General features: G+C 36.9%; 1 annotated feature.

Moving 5' to 3' along the window:
- Positions 10800-10969: an enhancer, noted in NCBI's record as "experimental_98149 CRE fragment used in MPRA reporter constructs". NCBI's record gives its function as "activates a minimal promoter by MPRAs in K562 erythroleukemia cells, with activity observed for the introgressed 7:19450526 variant allele {active_cell/tissue: K562}" and the evidence as "EXISTENCE:reporter gene assay evidence [ECO:0000049][PMID:34662402]".

Genomic DNA, 15694 nt, shown 5'->3' with positions numbered 1-15694 from the left:
CAGCAGCAAGACAGGGGGGAAGCATTGTGTGAGCTCCTGGCTCCAGGAACACTGCTGTAGATCCCGGGACAAAGTGCCAGTGACTTTTTTCACCTGACTGGAGGGTTTGGAAATGGTTTTCCTTTGTGTCTGCAATCCATTTTAACAAAATAGTTTCTGTATTTAGTTAAAACCAGGATAACAGAGAAGATGAGGCCTTTGAGAATGGTTGTTTCATCAACTAAGGATTCCTGACAGACTTTAAACAATGCTGAATTACATTCCTTCTTGATTTTTCTGGCCAAAATAGCATAATGGGCGATACAACATCAGGTAGACTCACCGCTGGATATGGAGTAAATACGTGCAACTAAGATTAGGGAAATTAAATGTGCTTTATTAAATGTTAGTTAATACTCATCAGTGCCTCCATCTTTGCTGGGCCTTTCACACTGTTAGATAAATGTGAAACACCCTTTGGCATTTTCATATTTATCTAAGGCTTTTCCCAGAACATTTTTTACCTGAACCTGGTGTCTAGACTGTGAATGTAATTGGAAGGAAACGTCTAAAGCTGAGAAGAACAGAGAAAGCTTCCTCCAGAAATCCACTAAGAACCTTAGTTTCACAATAATAACACCCTGATGTCAACTGCTTCCTTCTATTGACTATGTTTCCGCCAACGCCAATCTTGACCTGAAACACTAACTCCCTTCCCCCTCTTTCATAAGAAATGCAAGCATATTTAATATACTATTTTTGATATGAGATTGCAGGTTGGGGAAGGTAGGTAGGTAACAGCCCACAGCCTACAATATTTCACTTTAAAAAAGTCTCTTTGCCAAGCCACAAGGTCATATGACTTCCTACTGCCAGCCACAAGGTCACAATGCTCTAACCATTCTTCCCACACACTGTTCAGAAGGGTCCCTTCTTCCTTTCACCAACACTGGGTACCAGTCCTAGCAATTCTCCTGCCTCAGCCTCCCAAGTAGCTGGGATTACAGGCACACGCCACCACACCCAGCTAATTTTTTTGTATTTTAATAGAGATGGGGATTCACTGTGTTTCCCAGGCTGGTCTCAAACTCCTGAGCTCAGGCAGTCCATCCGCCTTGGCCTCCCAAAGTGCTAGGATTACAGGAGTGATCCTAGGGTAACTTTTCAAAAGATCTTTTGATCAAATCTTATCTTGCCCTACAAAAATATCCTCACATCAGTGTTCAGAAATTCGACTTTTTCTGTATCATTGGATTAATAATAATGACAATGACCTCAAGCAAAAGAAGGAGAAGAGTATGTCTCCTATTTCATCTTAGAAAGTATTCTATGAAGAAAGTAATATTGCACAGACAGAAAGTAATATGCTCTGGGTTGGGGAAGGAGGCAAGAGTTAGGTTCAGCCAAGATAAATACAGTTAATGACTCCACAAACAATTGACTAGATCGGACCCTTTCTTGTCACTTTCTGTTACATAGCATTGGGGTATGTTTAAAAAGTTCAGGGAGAGCGGCTATTTATAGAAATTATACAGGAGGTATCTTTATGTTTTCCAATTACCAGTATTTCAAAATGTATACTGCACTTCCCTAAATTAACACTTCTTCACTCCAAATTGATGTATCCATTCCCATAAGGATGTCGTTTTTTAGGTCTTCTATGAAATCCTCTTCATATTCATAAAATAAATATAGGTTATCTTCAGAAAAAGAAAAATTTATAAATACTGAATGTCCATGCTAATTTGAGAAAAACCCTCAATTAGAGACCAAACTACAATATGTAAAGAGAAATATTGCTACAGAGTATTACTTGACAAATATCTCAGGGCACAGTGTACTATATTTTTATTCTTTCCTTCCTTCTTTCCTTTCTTCCTTCCTTCCTTTCCTTCTTTTCTTGAAATGGATTTTTATTCCGTCCTTCCTTCTTTCCTTCCTTCCTTCCTTTCCTTCTTTCTTTTTTTGAAATGGAGTTTCACTCTTGTTGCCCAGGCTGCAGTGCAATGGCACGATCTTGGCTCACTGCAACCTCCACCTCCTGGGTTCAAGCGATTCTCCTGCCGGAGCCTCCCAGGTAGCTGAAGTTACAGGCATGCGCCACCACACCCAGTTAATTTTCTTTTTGTATTTTTAGTAGAGACAAGGTTTCACCGTGTTGGCCCAGTTGGTCTCGAACTCCTGACCTCAGGTGATCCACCCACCTCAGCCTCCCAAAGTGCTGGGATTACAGGCGTGAGCCACAATGTCCGAACTCTCTTTTTTTTTCTTCTATTTACCTTCTTCTGAACCTCCCCTCTCTTCCATCCACACAATGAATAAAATAAATTTCTATCAACCTGGACATCAGGATTATTTTTTGAGAGTTTCATCTCCAGTTTCTAAACATTAATAATTTGTCCAGAAACTACTGATGAAGTTCATAGCTGATTCATCTCCCATCAACATTTCTCATCTCCTCTGTCAGGCTAAAAGTGCCCTTTAGAGAAAATGGCGACTACTCTAAGCGTGACTGTGCCTCAGTTTGGGAAGAAACAGCAGGTAGGGTCTACAGGAGCTTTCGGCGTCTTCTTTGAAGATCTGTTTTGGGGATGGGATGTAAGCGGAGACACAGTAATGAAACATTTTGGAATCGGACAAGAAATGAACAGGAAGTCGTTTTAGTCCTGGTTTGCTTAATTACTGCAAGGAGCAAAAAAGGAAAGGAGAAACAGAGAGAAAGTTGGATAGCCATCAAAGGATGATTGCTTAAAAGTTCCTTCCTCCTCTGCCTTTTTATTTCGATTAACTAGCGTGGAGCTGCCAGCTTTTCCCTGAAATTAACCCTCTGTTACACTCCCAAGAACATAGAAGTTCTGTTTAGAGAAGTCGCTGTATGAAGAGTCACTGTTATTTCAGAGAAGGAAAGTGATAAAGGGTAGAGTAGCTAAACGGAGTCAAATAGGGAAAAATGAATGGCAAGAAACAAAGAAGCAAATGAGCTACGTACCAGATTTCAAAATCTGTAGTTTTATTTGAGCACGCAACTAAGATTTTTGAAAAATTTAATTAAAAATTTTATAGAACTTTGGAGTTATAAATTACCTTAAAAACAACAAAATATGACCATTCTCTTTTTTCACTTACATGAAGAAACTGAATTCCTCAGGGATGAAGACATTTGTCCATACATGTCATAATAGTGGTAAGTTTAGACCCTCAACCAGGTCACCTGAATTTTTGAACTTTTTTTTTTTTTTTTTTTAAGATAGAGTCTCGCTCTGTCATCCAGGCTGGAGTGCAGTGGTGCGATCTGGGCTCACTGCAAGCTCCGCCTCCCAGGTTCACACCATTCTCCTACCTCTGCCTCTTGAGTAGCTGGGACAACAGGTGCCCGCCACCATGCCTGGCTTTTTTTTTTTTTTTTGTATTTTTAGTAGAGATGGGGTGAATATTTTTATGTACTAGAATCATATAAACAAGTTACCATGTACAAGACATCTGTCAGTTGACAATATTTATTATGATCACTAATTATTTGAACATTATTCTTAGACTTACTAAAAAACGAAATATAGTAAGCTATAAATAATATTGTGATATATTTTAAAATTTAAGTTGCATACATGCAAATAGAAGAAAACAAAGGAAGCCATAATACAAATCAGTGTTCTGACTTCTACAAGATGAGCATTCATTTAAAAAATTGAATAATTGCCATCTCTGTTTTCTTCATGTTTCAATATTGTTTAAATATCTGAATTTCTAGCAAACTTGAAGCACCACATTTTTTTAGTTCAATTAATAGCCAGGAAACCGTGGGTAAGTTCCTTAACCTGTTGTGATGATCACATGAGGTATTTTATGTTGAAGTACTTACCCTGGCATCTGGTATATAATCAGTGCAGTGTTAGCTTTTATTAGTAGTAAGCATTTTTTAATGAAAAGAGTAAAAAGGAAAGGGTCACCTATATCCGAAAAAATGTAGGATTTGGCTATAAGCGTCAGTTCACTGTAAGCAACAGCTGGTCTCTTTACAGGGCTTAGGATACAGATTACATAAAATATATATATATAGGAAGAGGAAAAGGGTAAAAACTTTCAAAGTTCACCAGTTGTAGCCTACAGCATTTCACTCAAGCTCATTAGGAAGTTTACATTTATAATGTAATCTCTTTGAAACAGATTTGATTTTTTTTTTTCAGTAAGGATCTTGTAAATTAAAATTTTCCCAGGGGGCTAACCTAGTACAAGTTGTTCCAGAGGTGGAATTCCTTCTGATCAAATATCTCCAAGCAGAAGAAAAATGGTTCACTAAGACTAGTGTACTGGCTTATATAATTAGCAGTGAATATCGGAATACCAGGGGGCAGCACCAGCAGTTAATAATACCCTTGCCTTCAGAACTGCATTTAGCAAAAGAAAGACATTTAGCCTACATAAAAGAACTGCGCAAATTAGCAGTACATTGTCTCAGTCCAGCTGTTGTAAAGTATTACCATATGGCTTTATAGTACACCTTTATTTTACCTTGGAGGTTAAAAGGCCTTTTAAAAAATACTACTTCCTAAGGTTGTTCTCTGCTACACAAAAAATACCAGTACATCTATACATTTTGGGGAAAATGGCTAATGTATGAAGGTTACAGTTTACACCCTTACCTTTTCCTACTACCTCACCTAGCCAAGATTCCTGTGAATGAAGTCATACTTACATCAAGCAAAGTAATTCAGAAGTGAATTAAATTCTGCTTCCAAACGACAATGCATGCAGAGACACTAGCTGTGGAAAGTGCCATGCAGGGAACAAGAGAGTTCCTGCAGGAGTTGGTTCTTTAGTTCAACTCGATATGAAAATGGGGCCCCTTAACAGAGACAGACTGAGGGTCTTATCAAACAGTGACCAAGCATATTGCCTGGCACCGAATTGACAGTTATAGATGATACATGCACCAATGAGTACCTTTTTTAAATGACACTGGGATAGAGTCTCATAGTTTTGCTATCATTTGTAAGGACTATTCAACACCACAGGAGCAAAACACTATTCAGGAAGCCTGGTGATTAAAAAATGTGAGATCTGGCAATAAAGCCTTTAGAATCCTGCCACTAAAGGGAGGTGAACTGACTGGAAGCCAATAAGGTAAATGAACAATAAGAGAGTAAGTATTTTGTATGCACTTCTACTAGTGGAAAATTTTATATCCAATGTGATCAAATTTACTGAGCAATATTTTAAAAATCAGCCGAAGCTAATTATCTTCTTTTTAAACAAGGACATACATATCTGGAATATTTTAATTTAAAGCATAAATAGATGTATATTCTAGCTATATGCTGCTAATATGGGACAACATCCTTTTCATTGTATAAAGTGGAGTTCCAAATTTTTTTCTGTAAAGGACTATATATTAAATATTTTAGGTTTTGAGAGCCCCGTTTGGCCTCTGTTGCTGGGCTGCTGCAGATCCTCCTCCTCCACCCCCTTCTGCGTCTTCTTTTTCTCTTTCTTCTTTTTACAACCTTTTAAAATGTAAAAATCATTCTAAGGTCATAGTTCATACAAATACAGGCCTCAGGCCATTTTTGACATAAGCCATAGTTGCTGGCTCTCAGGACATAAGTTCACTGTTGGTGTTCTGTTTTCATCCCTGCATAAATCACATTGATAATCAAGTGTAACTTCCAAATTATTTCTCTTTTGACTGCAAATAAATCATTTAAAGACAAAGGCACAGCACTATAAATGTAATACACATTTTTTTCTGATTAAAATTTCCTCTACAATATTCAACTTAGTTTTCCTAGAAACAATTCTGTTACTTCTTAAATTCCTATTTTATAGGTTTGCCTAGTACTCAAATTGCAAGGATAACCAAAACAGGAATATACAGGTTGGAAACAAACCTATTGTCTCTGGGAAAAAAAAAAAAAATCAAAGAGAGTAAGCGGAAGCAGCAGTGTGGCAATACACTAGTGTGTTAGCTGTGAAGCTTCCGCATGCCCTGGGCATTGATAAGTATGTTTTAGAAAGAGAATAGAAAGCACTGGTAATCCCATGGATCAGTTTAACTGCAAGTGATTCTGGAAACTTATATGGAATTGCTTGGGCACTATGTTAAATCTTTGCATATGTTTAATGGCCAGAGAGATACCATCCCAAAGGATAATAAAAAACTAGCTAAGATATATTGCACACTTCATTTGTACCAAGCAGTTTTACATCCATTCTTATTTAATCCTCACCATACCTCTAAGATGTAGGTGCAAGTATTAATATCTGACTTCTGATATTTAGTAGCCATGTGACCTTAGCCAAGTTTAGTTTCCTCATCACTTAATAGAGTAACAGCACCTACATAATACAGTTTCTATTCTTTTTCAAAGGCTTGCTGAATGCTGACTACATCAGTTAGGCATGGAAGATAAAATAGTATTTAGAACACCGGCTCTCAGTGTAATCACTGGCCCAGCAACATCAGCAGCACCTGGAACTTGTTAAAAATGCAAATTATCAGGCTCCACCCTTGATCTACAGAGTAAGAAACTCTGGAGTTGGCACTTGGCAATCTGTTTTCACAAGCCCTCCAGAGAGCTGTGATACAGGTTAAAGTTTGAGATTCACTGGTTTCAAATGGACGGCCCATCATCTTGGACCTTAGATTGTAATACACTGTTGTGAGCATTTTTCCAGTTAATACATATATAAGCACTCAGAATTCTTCCAGGTACAAACTTAGCAATCATTAAATGTTTGCTATTATTTTTATTATTGACTACTACTAGTACTGATATAACTATGAAGTAGGAAATACTAAAAATTTACTTTCATTAGACATAACTTCTATGATATTTAGTAGATATTTACATTATTAATATGGAGGAACATTCATCATAAATAAATGTCTCAGTACAAACTTTAAAATATGGTTTTGTAAATTTCAGAGAAGAAAGAGATCATTTAGAAGTTAAAACTCCAAGTGCAACAGGTAACGTAAATGACTCTTAAAAGTCCTATACTAAAGAGGGAATTGCACGCATTATATAAGGGGCCACGGCTACTCACCTGCACCCAATTGTTGCTGCGTGGAAATGCAAGCCCAGCAGTGCCAGATTTTATGATTTTTCAAGTGAAGCTGGAAATCTGGAGTTTTATATAAAGTGTCCTGCCTTTTTAGTATTTAAACCTAATTCAATCTGTGGATCCAATTAAATGTTTCTGTAGGCCACACTTGGCTGTAGAGCCATCAGTTTGGAACTTTTATTTCACCTATTCCTTTTCATTTTACATGCATACAAACGAGGGCCCAGAGAACTTCAGAAACTTATTTAAGATCACAGTGTCAATGAGGAATAGAAACGGGAATTTATGACTCTCTTTTCATAATCACAGAGCCTCGTTCAGCCTTTTCCTATTCTGAATGACATTTACCAAAATTGGGTGGGGTAGAGGGGAGGAGGATCAGAGATGAAATTGTATGAAATGAGAAATTACCGCACAATGTAGGATTTAAAAAGCGCTTATGAGTTAAATTCCAACATGAATTAGAGTCTTTCAAAGATCTAATATTTCAAGTACTCAAGTTCACAGGAGAGTAGCTTTGTTTTTTTTCTTTTACTACACCAACCTGGTCTGCTTCTTGGAATAGAGTTTCTGTTTTGTTGAGGAAAATTCATATTGCTTCTTTTTGTCTCTGAATGTTTTCACCATCTTTATTCCTTTTCATTGTCCCTGGTGGCTCAGGCCTTAACACAAAACTTTAAGAATTTTGATTTGTAAATCCTGTGTTTGCATGCAATTGAGAAGAGGCCACTTCATTTGTATGAAAAGAGTTGAAAGACTAGCAGATCAATACAAGGCCAGATTCCATATGAGGCACCTCACACTGCACCCAATATGGCATTTCCAGGCCCCAAGTGAAGCTAAAGTTAGCCATACTATACACCATCATTCAAACTTGTTTAGATTTTTTCTTTTGATTCATGCCTTTGCTGCATTTTGTACATCCTCCTGACCATTCTTAGCAGCTGTAACAACACTTGTGGTATTACCAGTAATTTGCAACTTATCAAACATGATTGAACCTTGTTCTTTTGTGTAAACGAAACAGAACTCTTTGGTTGGCTTTCTTTATACTTTGGACATAGTGTAAAGGAAACGGAGACTATATTTGCATGCCAGACAATGAAACATAACACACAGTGTATACATGCCTTTGACACTGTAATTACTAGCTGTTGTTTAGATTCCATGTATGGTCACTGGCTTTGGCTGTGTTGAAATCAGCTGTATCAACATTTAATCAAAGTCTTATAGATTTTGGTTGTATATTTTTCTAACGTCAAAATAGAAATGCTGAGACTAAAAAATAGGTTGGAAGGAATGGAAATGTGTGTGCGATACATTGCAAAAATAATGAACATTCACGGTATAATAAATGAAGTTTTTCTGATTTTGTCAGTAATGAAATCAAACATCACATGGAGCTCGTTTAAAATTATGATTATTTCTCTAGAAGTCAGCAACTACTAATTAATTTTGCTTCAGTTTACATTCAAAATAGCTCCCTTTGCAACATATTCTATTTAGGTATTTTGTGATTTAACAAGAAAATTTTTTTTAATTGTAGGATTTTTCTTTTGGCAAAACCATAATATATAACTCTTGAAAATAACACAGAATATACAACAAATACCATATCATTTAACAGTATGTTATGTAATGACATTGAGCACCATAATGTCTAGTAGTACTTTGCTCCTGGGATAAATTTTTACAGATTTATACCTGGGACTTCTAAAGCATCAAATGCAATTTTTTTTTTTTTTTTTTTTTTTTTTTTGGTGGCAATGGCTGGGGAGAGAGGTTGGGGGAAAAGGGGAAATGACCTGTGGTGCCAAATCCAGGCCTATTGCTCTATGCAGTTTTAGAAAACTCCCAAGATAATGGTATTCTCCATCCTTTATTACTCAGATTAATGTCCCTTATTGAATATACAGGGCTCCCACAAAATTTAAGGCTATGAAACCATACACCCATAACAAGTGATGAATATATTTATTATCTCTTATACTACATGATGCTATATCCAGAATTATCTTTCATTTACAGGATCATGTAATTTTTATGTACCATATAATGCAACTATGGTATAAATATAATGAATATTAGGTTTTTGTACTCATTAACCAATCATCATGTGCTTTTGATATATAAAGCCCTGGAAGAATCACCATAGAGAATATAAAGGTAACTGAACCTGAAATCTGTCTTTGATGAGTTTATAATACCAGAATACATTGCAATTATACAACATAGAAAGCAAGTCATGCAGAAACATGATTGCATTATGTGCTAGATCAGAAAAGAGAAGAATCTCTTCTAGCCATAGTGATCAGGAATGTCTTTATGGGGAATTATATTGAGGAAAGACAAATATGGGACATGTAGGGCTAGAGGGACTACCACTGATGTTCTCTCAAGAAGACAAGGCTGCAAAGCTGAGTTTCAGGAGATGAGGTTTGTGAGTCTACAAATATGATCAGAAACATGATTTAAAACTAGATGAATGCCAGGCACGGTGGATCACTCTTGTAATTCCAGCACTTTGGGAGGCTGAGGCAGGAGGATCACTCGAGCCTGGGAGTTTGAGACCAGAATGAGCAACATAGCAAGACTTCATTTCTACGTAAAAAAATTATTTAAAAAACCAATAAGGTGGGCATGGTGGCATGGGCCTGTAGTCCCAGCTACTTGAGAGGCTGAAGAGGGAGGATCACTTGAGCCCAGAGACTGAGGCTGCAGTGAGTTATGATACCACCACTGCACTCCAGCCTGGGCAAGAGAGTGAGACCATGTCTCAAAAAATAAAAAATAAAATAAAATAATATAAAAATAGATGAATATATGCGAGCAGGACAAATTTAGGGGTACAAAAGAAAAATGAAGTTGCTGTAATGATTTCTGATAGATTATAAGAGACTGACGTGTGAAAGAGGGGATATAGGAGACAGCAGTAGAATTAACAAAGGAGGCTAGGAAAATATTGTTGATTAAAACATCAAGCTTGCATGAGTTGGGGAGTGGTGGAACAATATTGCAAACACAAAAAGCTGAATGGGGAGGAGAAGTAACTTCAGAAAGAGGTATATGAAATTTACAAATAAAGGAGTCAGCTAGTTGTCATGCTCAGCTAGCACCTGGGAAAAAGAACCGGGCTAGAGATGTACATTCACAAAATACTTTTCCATTGGTTGACGAAATTACCAAAGGGTTATAAGGAGTCAAGAACAGAAACTTGAGTAAAAAGTAGAAGGTCCAAAAACATTTGTTGCTGAACGTGCCAGACCCAGAGAAAGAAAAAGAAGACACATAGAAGTCAACATAAGAGATTTTCAAGGAAAGCTTGGTTTTAACAACATTAAATTTTTTAGAGAATATGGGACTATGTGGACCGAAAACAGTTTGTAAGTAAGACATTATTGCAAGTTTTTGCAAGGTGGCTTAAATTTTTTCCTTAGCTTGCTAGACAGAAACCACTGCAAGAATAAGTAATGGAAAAACAGAAATAGTAAAAATACAAGGATAGACGTTTTAAGGTGAATTGTAGCGTGGAAACACCAAGAAAATCCTTTTGCCATTCTCCATTAATATACTTAAATATCCCCTTTTATAGAAGAGCATGTTAAACCCCCACAACAATTATAAGCTAAATCTGTTTGCCACAGACTGTGTAGGATTCTTCAATAACAAGTGAGCACATGCCTCTATAAGTGATTTTAAAATAAAAAGCGCAATTTCAATCTGTGAATTAGTACTGTCATCATCCTCACAACAAACTGACCCACAAGGCAGCTAGCCTACTTAGGCTGTTCTCTAACTTCAAAGTTAAGTAAATGGGCCTTAAAAGTAGCCCTTAAGACTGCGTAAGGATTAGCAAATTAAACTCAGAGATGACTCAAATGTACTTTAACTATAAAGACATTAAGAGAGGCTTGTCGGTGGCATAAAGGGTCAGTAGGATACAGAAAATGTTGCTGCTTGTTTGCTTTAATTGAACAAGACTCAGTTATATTTTAGACTGAAAAGAAGGATCCTTTAGAAAGACAGCTGGTATAGAGGAATACTTGATGGAACTAAGTCTCTTAGGATATAAGAAAAAGGAACCAATGGGCACTATTTGAAATCTCACATTTGGAAAAGGAGTCTATTTCTTCTTCTGATGCAAGACAGAAAAAACCATGATGGTAAGACAATCTGAAAATGAATACTGAAGTTGCATAATTATATGTGCATACGAAAATTTGGTTTTAGAGTTCAATATAATTCTAGGTAAAATTAAGGAATCCATAGCACACCAATTTTTAAAAAATCAAATCTCTTGGTAACATTTCAAAATATTAAATTCTGTATTTAACTCAACACAATTCTAATCTTAGTATAAAACATAGCCAGCTTTTGTGCTTTGGACTATATATGAATAATGTTAATCACTTGATGCTTAGCCAAAAACCACTATCTGGGGCTGCTGTGGACTGGCTCTTCATGCTGGCAAAGCTCCTCAAAGCAAGGGAGCAATTTAGCAGGAAGCCTGACTTATTATTCATTCTCAATTTTTATATCCTTTTTTTTTTTTAGGGACAGGCAAAGTTTACCAATAGTCTCTAAATACAGAGACAAATATAAATATATAAATTTATACAAATATATAAATATAAACAAAATATACTTCCCTATCAATCCTACTAATGAGAAGTTAAATGCCTGAATTTTATAAAGGCAGATGCTAGCAATAAATTTACAGCTGCTCCATTGGACTCTGAATGAGACATCATTTGTCAATACATAAAAATAACGATGCTGGTGAGGTTGCAGAGAAAAGGAAAGACTTATACACTGTTGGTGGGGGTGTAAATTAGTTCAGCCGTTGCGGAAAGCAGTATAGCGATTCCTTAAAAAACTTAAAACAGAATTACCATTTGACCTGGCATTCCCATTATTGGGTATATCCCAAGGGAATATAAATTGTTCTGCCATAAGGACACATGCATGTGCATGTCCACTGCAGTGCTGTTCACAGTAACAAAAACATGGAATCAGTCTAAATGCCTGTTGACAGTAGATGAGATAAAGAAAATGTGGTATATATACACCATGGAATACTATATGCAGTCACAAAAAAAAGAATGAGATCGTGTTCTTTGCGAGAACATGGATGGAGCAAGAGGGCATTATTCTAAGCAAACTAATGCAGGGACAGAAAACCAAATACCACATGTTCTCACTTGTAAGTATGAGCTAAACCATAGGAACACAAGGACACAAAAAGGGGAAAAACAGACACTGGGGCCTACTTGAGGGTGGAGAGTGGGAGGAGGGAGAGGATAAGAAAAAAATATCTACCTAGTACTATCTTTATTACCTGGGAGACAAAATAATCTGTGCACCAGACCACTGTGACAGGCAGTTTACCTATATAACAAGCCTGCATACGTATTCCTGAACCTAAAAGAAAAGTTTTTACAAATTGGTACAGATTAGAGAGCCCACACATGAGGCAAAATGGAACAGCTATGAGCCCCTTTTGGAGAGCATTAAAACACGACTTTTTAACTTTCAGAGATTTCAAAGGCTATCTTTGTTTTCTGTAAATGGGAAATGATTTTTCAAATCAACAATGCTTCCTTGTAGTAGTAGCAAAACACTTTCTAAAGAGGACTTCTCTATAGGATAAAGTCTTCTTTTTATTTAATCAGAAGACTTGGGGTGTTTTGAGATATGACAGGCGTTGTCCTGGCTAAAGCAACTCAAAGGCAAACACAGAGCTGCACTGGTAACTGTTACTCTAAGACATAAGAAGACGTCTGTGCAGAAAACATTGTAACAGTCCTTGAAGTGTTTTTGAATGATGGCAAAAGTCAGCACTATGTCTTTTTAATCTCGCAGAGAGAGAGAAAAAAAAGAATGACAAGTAACAGCACCCAGATCACTCCTTGAGGAGATAACATTGACTTGAAATTGCTCTAGACAGAGGAACTCTTGTCTAGAAGTTGAAGGTTTTAAGCCTTTAGTTGTATGCTCACAGGAACAAAACCAATCTTTACTTAGTTTGGAAATTATCCATTCATCACATAGTATTGACACCAACTATGTGCCCGATGCAAGAGTTGGGAATATAACAGTAAACAAAATATAGAAATCTCTACTCTCACTGAGGTTACGTTTTAAGACAACAGACTCAATAACCAGAGTAAGCAGGTAGATATTGTCTGGTTGGGGTGCCTAAGTGTTTTGGAGAACATCAAATCAAAGAAGAGAGATGAGGGAGGATGGCCTAACAGAGAAGGAATTGAGACCTGAAGACAATGAAGGAATGAGCCATGTGAAAATCTGGAGGGTTCTCCAGGGGAACAGAACTGAGAGCACAAAGGCTTCAAGGCATAGATGTGCCTGGCAGGTTTGTGAAAAAAGCAGAGGCCAAGGCTGCTGAGGCAGAACAAGCAAGGAGAGAAAGATAAGGAATAAAATCATAGGAACAGTTTGTAGTTCCCTGTGGTCCATTGGAAACACATTGGCTTTTACTCTTTGTGAAATGAAGAGTTACTGAAGAATGTATAAAATGATGTGGTATTCTAGGAATCGCTGGCTGCTCTAGTGAAAATAGGAAAGGAAATCAGGAGCAGAAAGCAGGGAGACCCACGATGAGGCTATTACAATAATCCAGGTGAGAGATGATGGTGGATCAGACTAGGATGGCGGCTGTAGAAATGAAGAAATGTGATTGGGTTCCAGATGTATTTTAAGTAAACTGCTGACAAGATGTCTTGATGGATTTGATATGAGGTATGAAAGAAAGAGGAATCGGGAATGATCCCAATAGTTTTGGTCTAAGCAACTGTAAAAATAAAATTACCATTGGCAGAGCTGAGTAAGACATAAGGAGAAGACGATTTGGAGTGATGGAAAATGTTAATAATTTACTTGTAGGCACATTAAGTTTGAGAGATGCCCATTTTACATCCAAAGGAAGATGGTGTGGGAGTAGTAGGATTTAAGATTTCAGAGTTCAGGAGAGAAGTTTAGGATGGAGATACAAATCCTGAAGCTGTAGGCATACATGTGGTATTACATCCCTTAGCAATGATTTAATAAGGGATTTAGTGTAGATAGAGAAAGGAGGAGGACCCATGATTAGGCTTCAGAGATGAGAAGGAAATAGCAAAAGGGAGTGAAGAGAAAATGGCTACAGTAATTGAAGAGTGTGGGTCTTAGCCAGAGATACATATGTTATAAAACGAGTGTTTCACGACAATGACAAAATCAGTATTGAGAATAACCACCAGAAATGTTAATGGTGAGGTCAGTGGCGGCCTTAGTAAGAGCAGTTTCAGGGGAAGTGGAAGAATTAAAGCTCCGTTAGGGTAAACTAGAGAGAAAATGGATGGAAAGCTGTAGACTAAGTATAGAAAGCTCTTTCAAGTACATTTCCTATCAAAGTAAGGAGAGAAAGAGATGCTCAAAGAGGGATGTGTCAGGAAATTTTAGTTTTTTTTAAGACAAAAAAAAAAAAACATGTTAGTATGCTGATAGAAAAAATCTAGTAGAAAAGCTAAACTTGATGATACAGGAGCAAAACAGAAATGCTGTCACGATGTTCCGGAGTAAGTCAGAGAGGTTGGGATATAGTGCACAAGTGATAGATTTGGCCTTTGTCAAGAGCACAATTTATCTAGTGAAATAGGAAAACCAGAGTAGAGGCCAAGATGCAGGTGGAGAAGGACGTAGTGGTGGAACAAATGGAAATTCTCTTCTGATAGATTTTATTTCCTTAGTAGAAAGGAAGGGGTCATCAGTTAAGATTGAGAATGGGAGATGAGGTGTTGGGGGTTTGGATGGAGAAGAAAAAGCATGGAGAGTCATCTAGAAGGGTAGGGATGGAAATGGGTTAGGGAAATAATTGCTATACTTCATTAACAGTCCAGCTGAGTTTGCTAATCATAAAATTAAAGTGTGACTATTTTTGTCTTTATTTTCCAGCCTCCTTCAGCTGCTTGGGTACATCCACAGAATTTACAGAGTTGGATTCAAGCCAAACTTTACACGTTCAAATGGTTAAAAATATTGACTTCACTTTTATTTTTCAGTTGTATCATCATGAAAAAGTGATACATATGAAATGTTCTTGATCATCAACAGTGCTAAATTACTCCAGTTCTAATCCCTAATTTCTTAAGCTGTACATAGATTTGCCTACGTAGATTGATTTAAATTGTTTCACAATATAGTATGTCTTTAAACCATGGGTCAGCAAATTTTTTTATAAAGGGCTCAATAGTCCACATATTAGGCGTTGTGGGCTATACGGTCTCTGTCAGGTATTCAATAGCTATTAATAAAATATTCAGATAAACTTAAAATTTGTGAAAACATCTACAAGGGTGCCTGGCATTAACAATGATAATTAGAACATTTTCCTTCAGTGGAATGCATAGTTGGAATCCTTGATGTCCAAGGGGTAATATACAAATCAACAGGATCAGCTTTACCTGGGAACTCATTAGAAATGCAGAATCACAGGCTTCACATCCTGTCTTATTAAAGAGTCTGCATTTTAAAAAGAGCCCTATGTGGTTGTATGCACATTAAAGTTTGAGAGCTTTAGTTCAGAAAGCAAGACTAGGATTTTCCATATGTGGAATCAAATAACCTGTAACAAATATCACAAAGTTAACAAAAA

Source organism: Homo sapiens, chromosome 7 (assembly GCF_000001405.40).
Source record: "Homo sapiens chromosome 7, GRCh38.p14 Primary Assembly".
Taxonomy (NCBI): Eukaryota; Metazoa; Chordata; class Mammalia; order Primates; family Hominidae; genus Homo; species Homo sapiens.
This window is presented reverse-complemented; position numbering and strand designations above follow the sequence as displayed.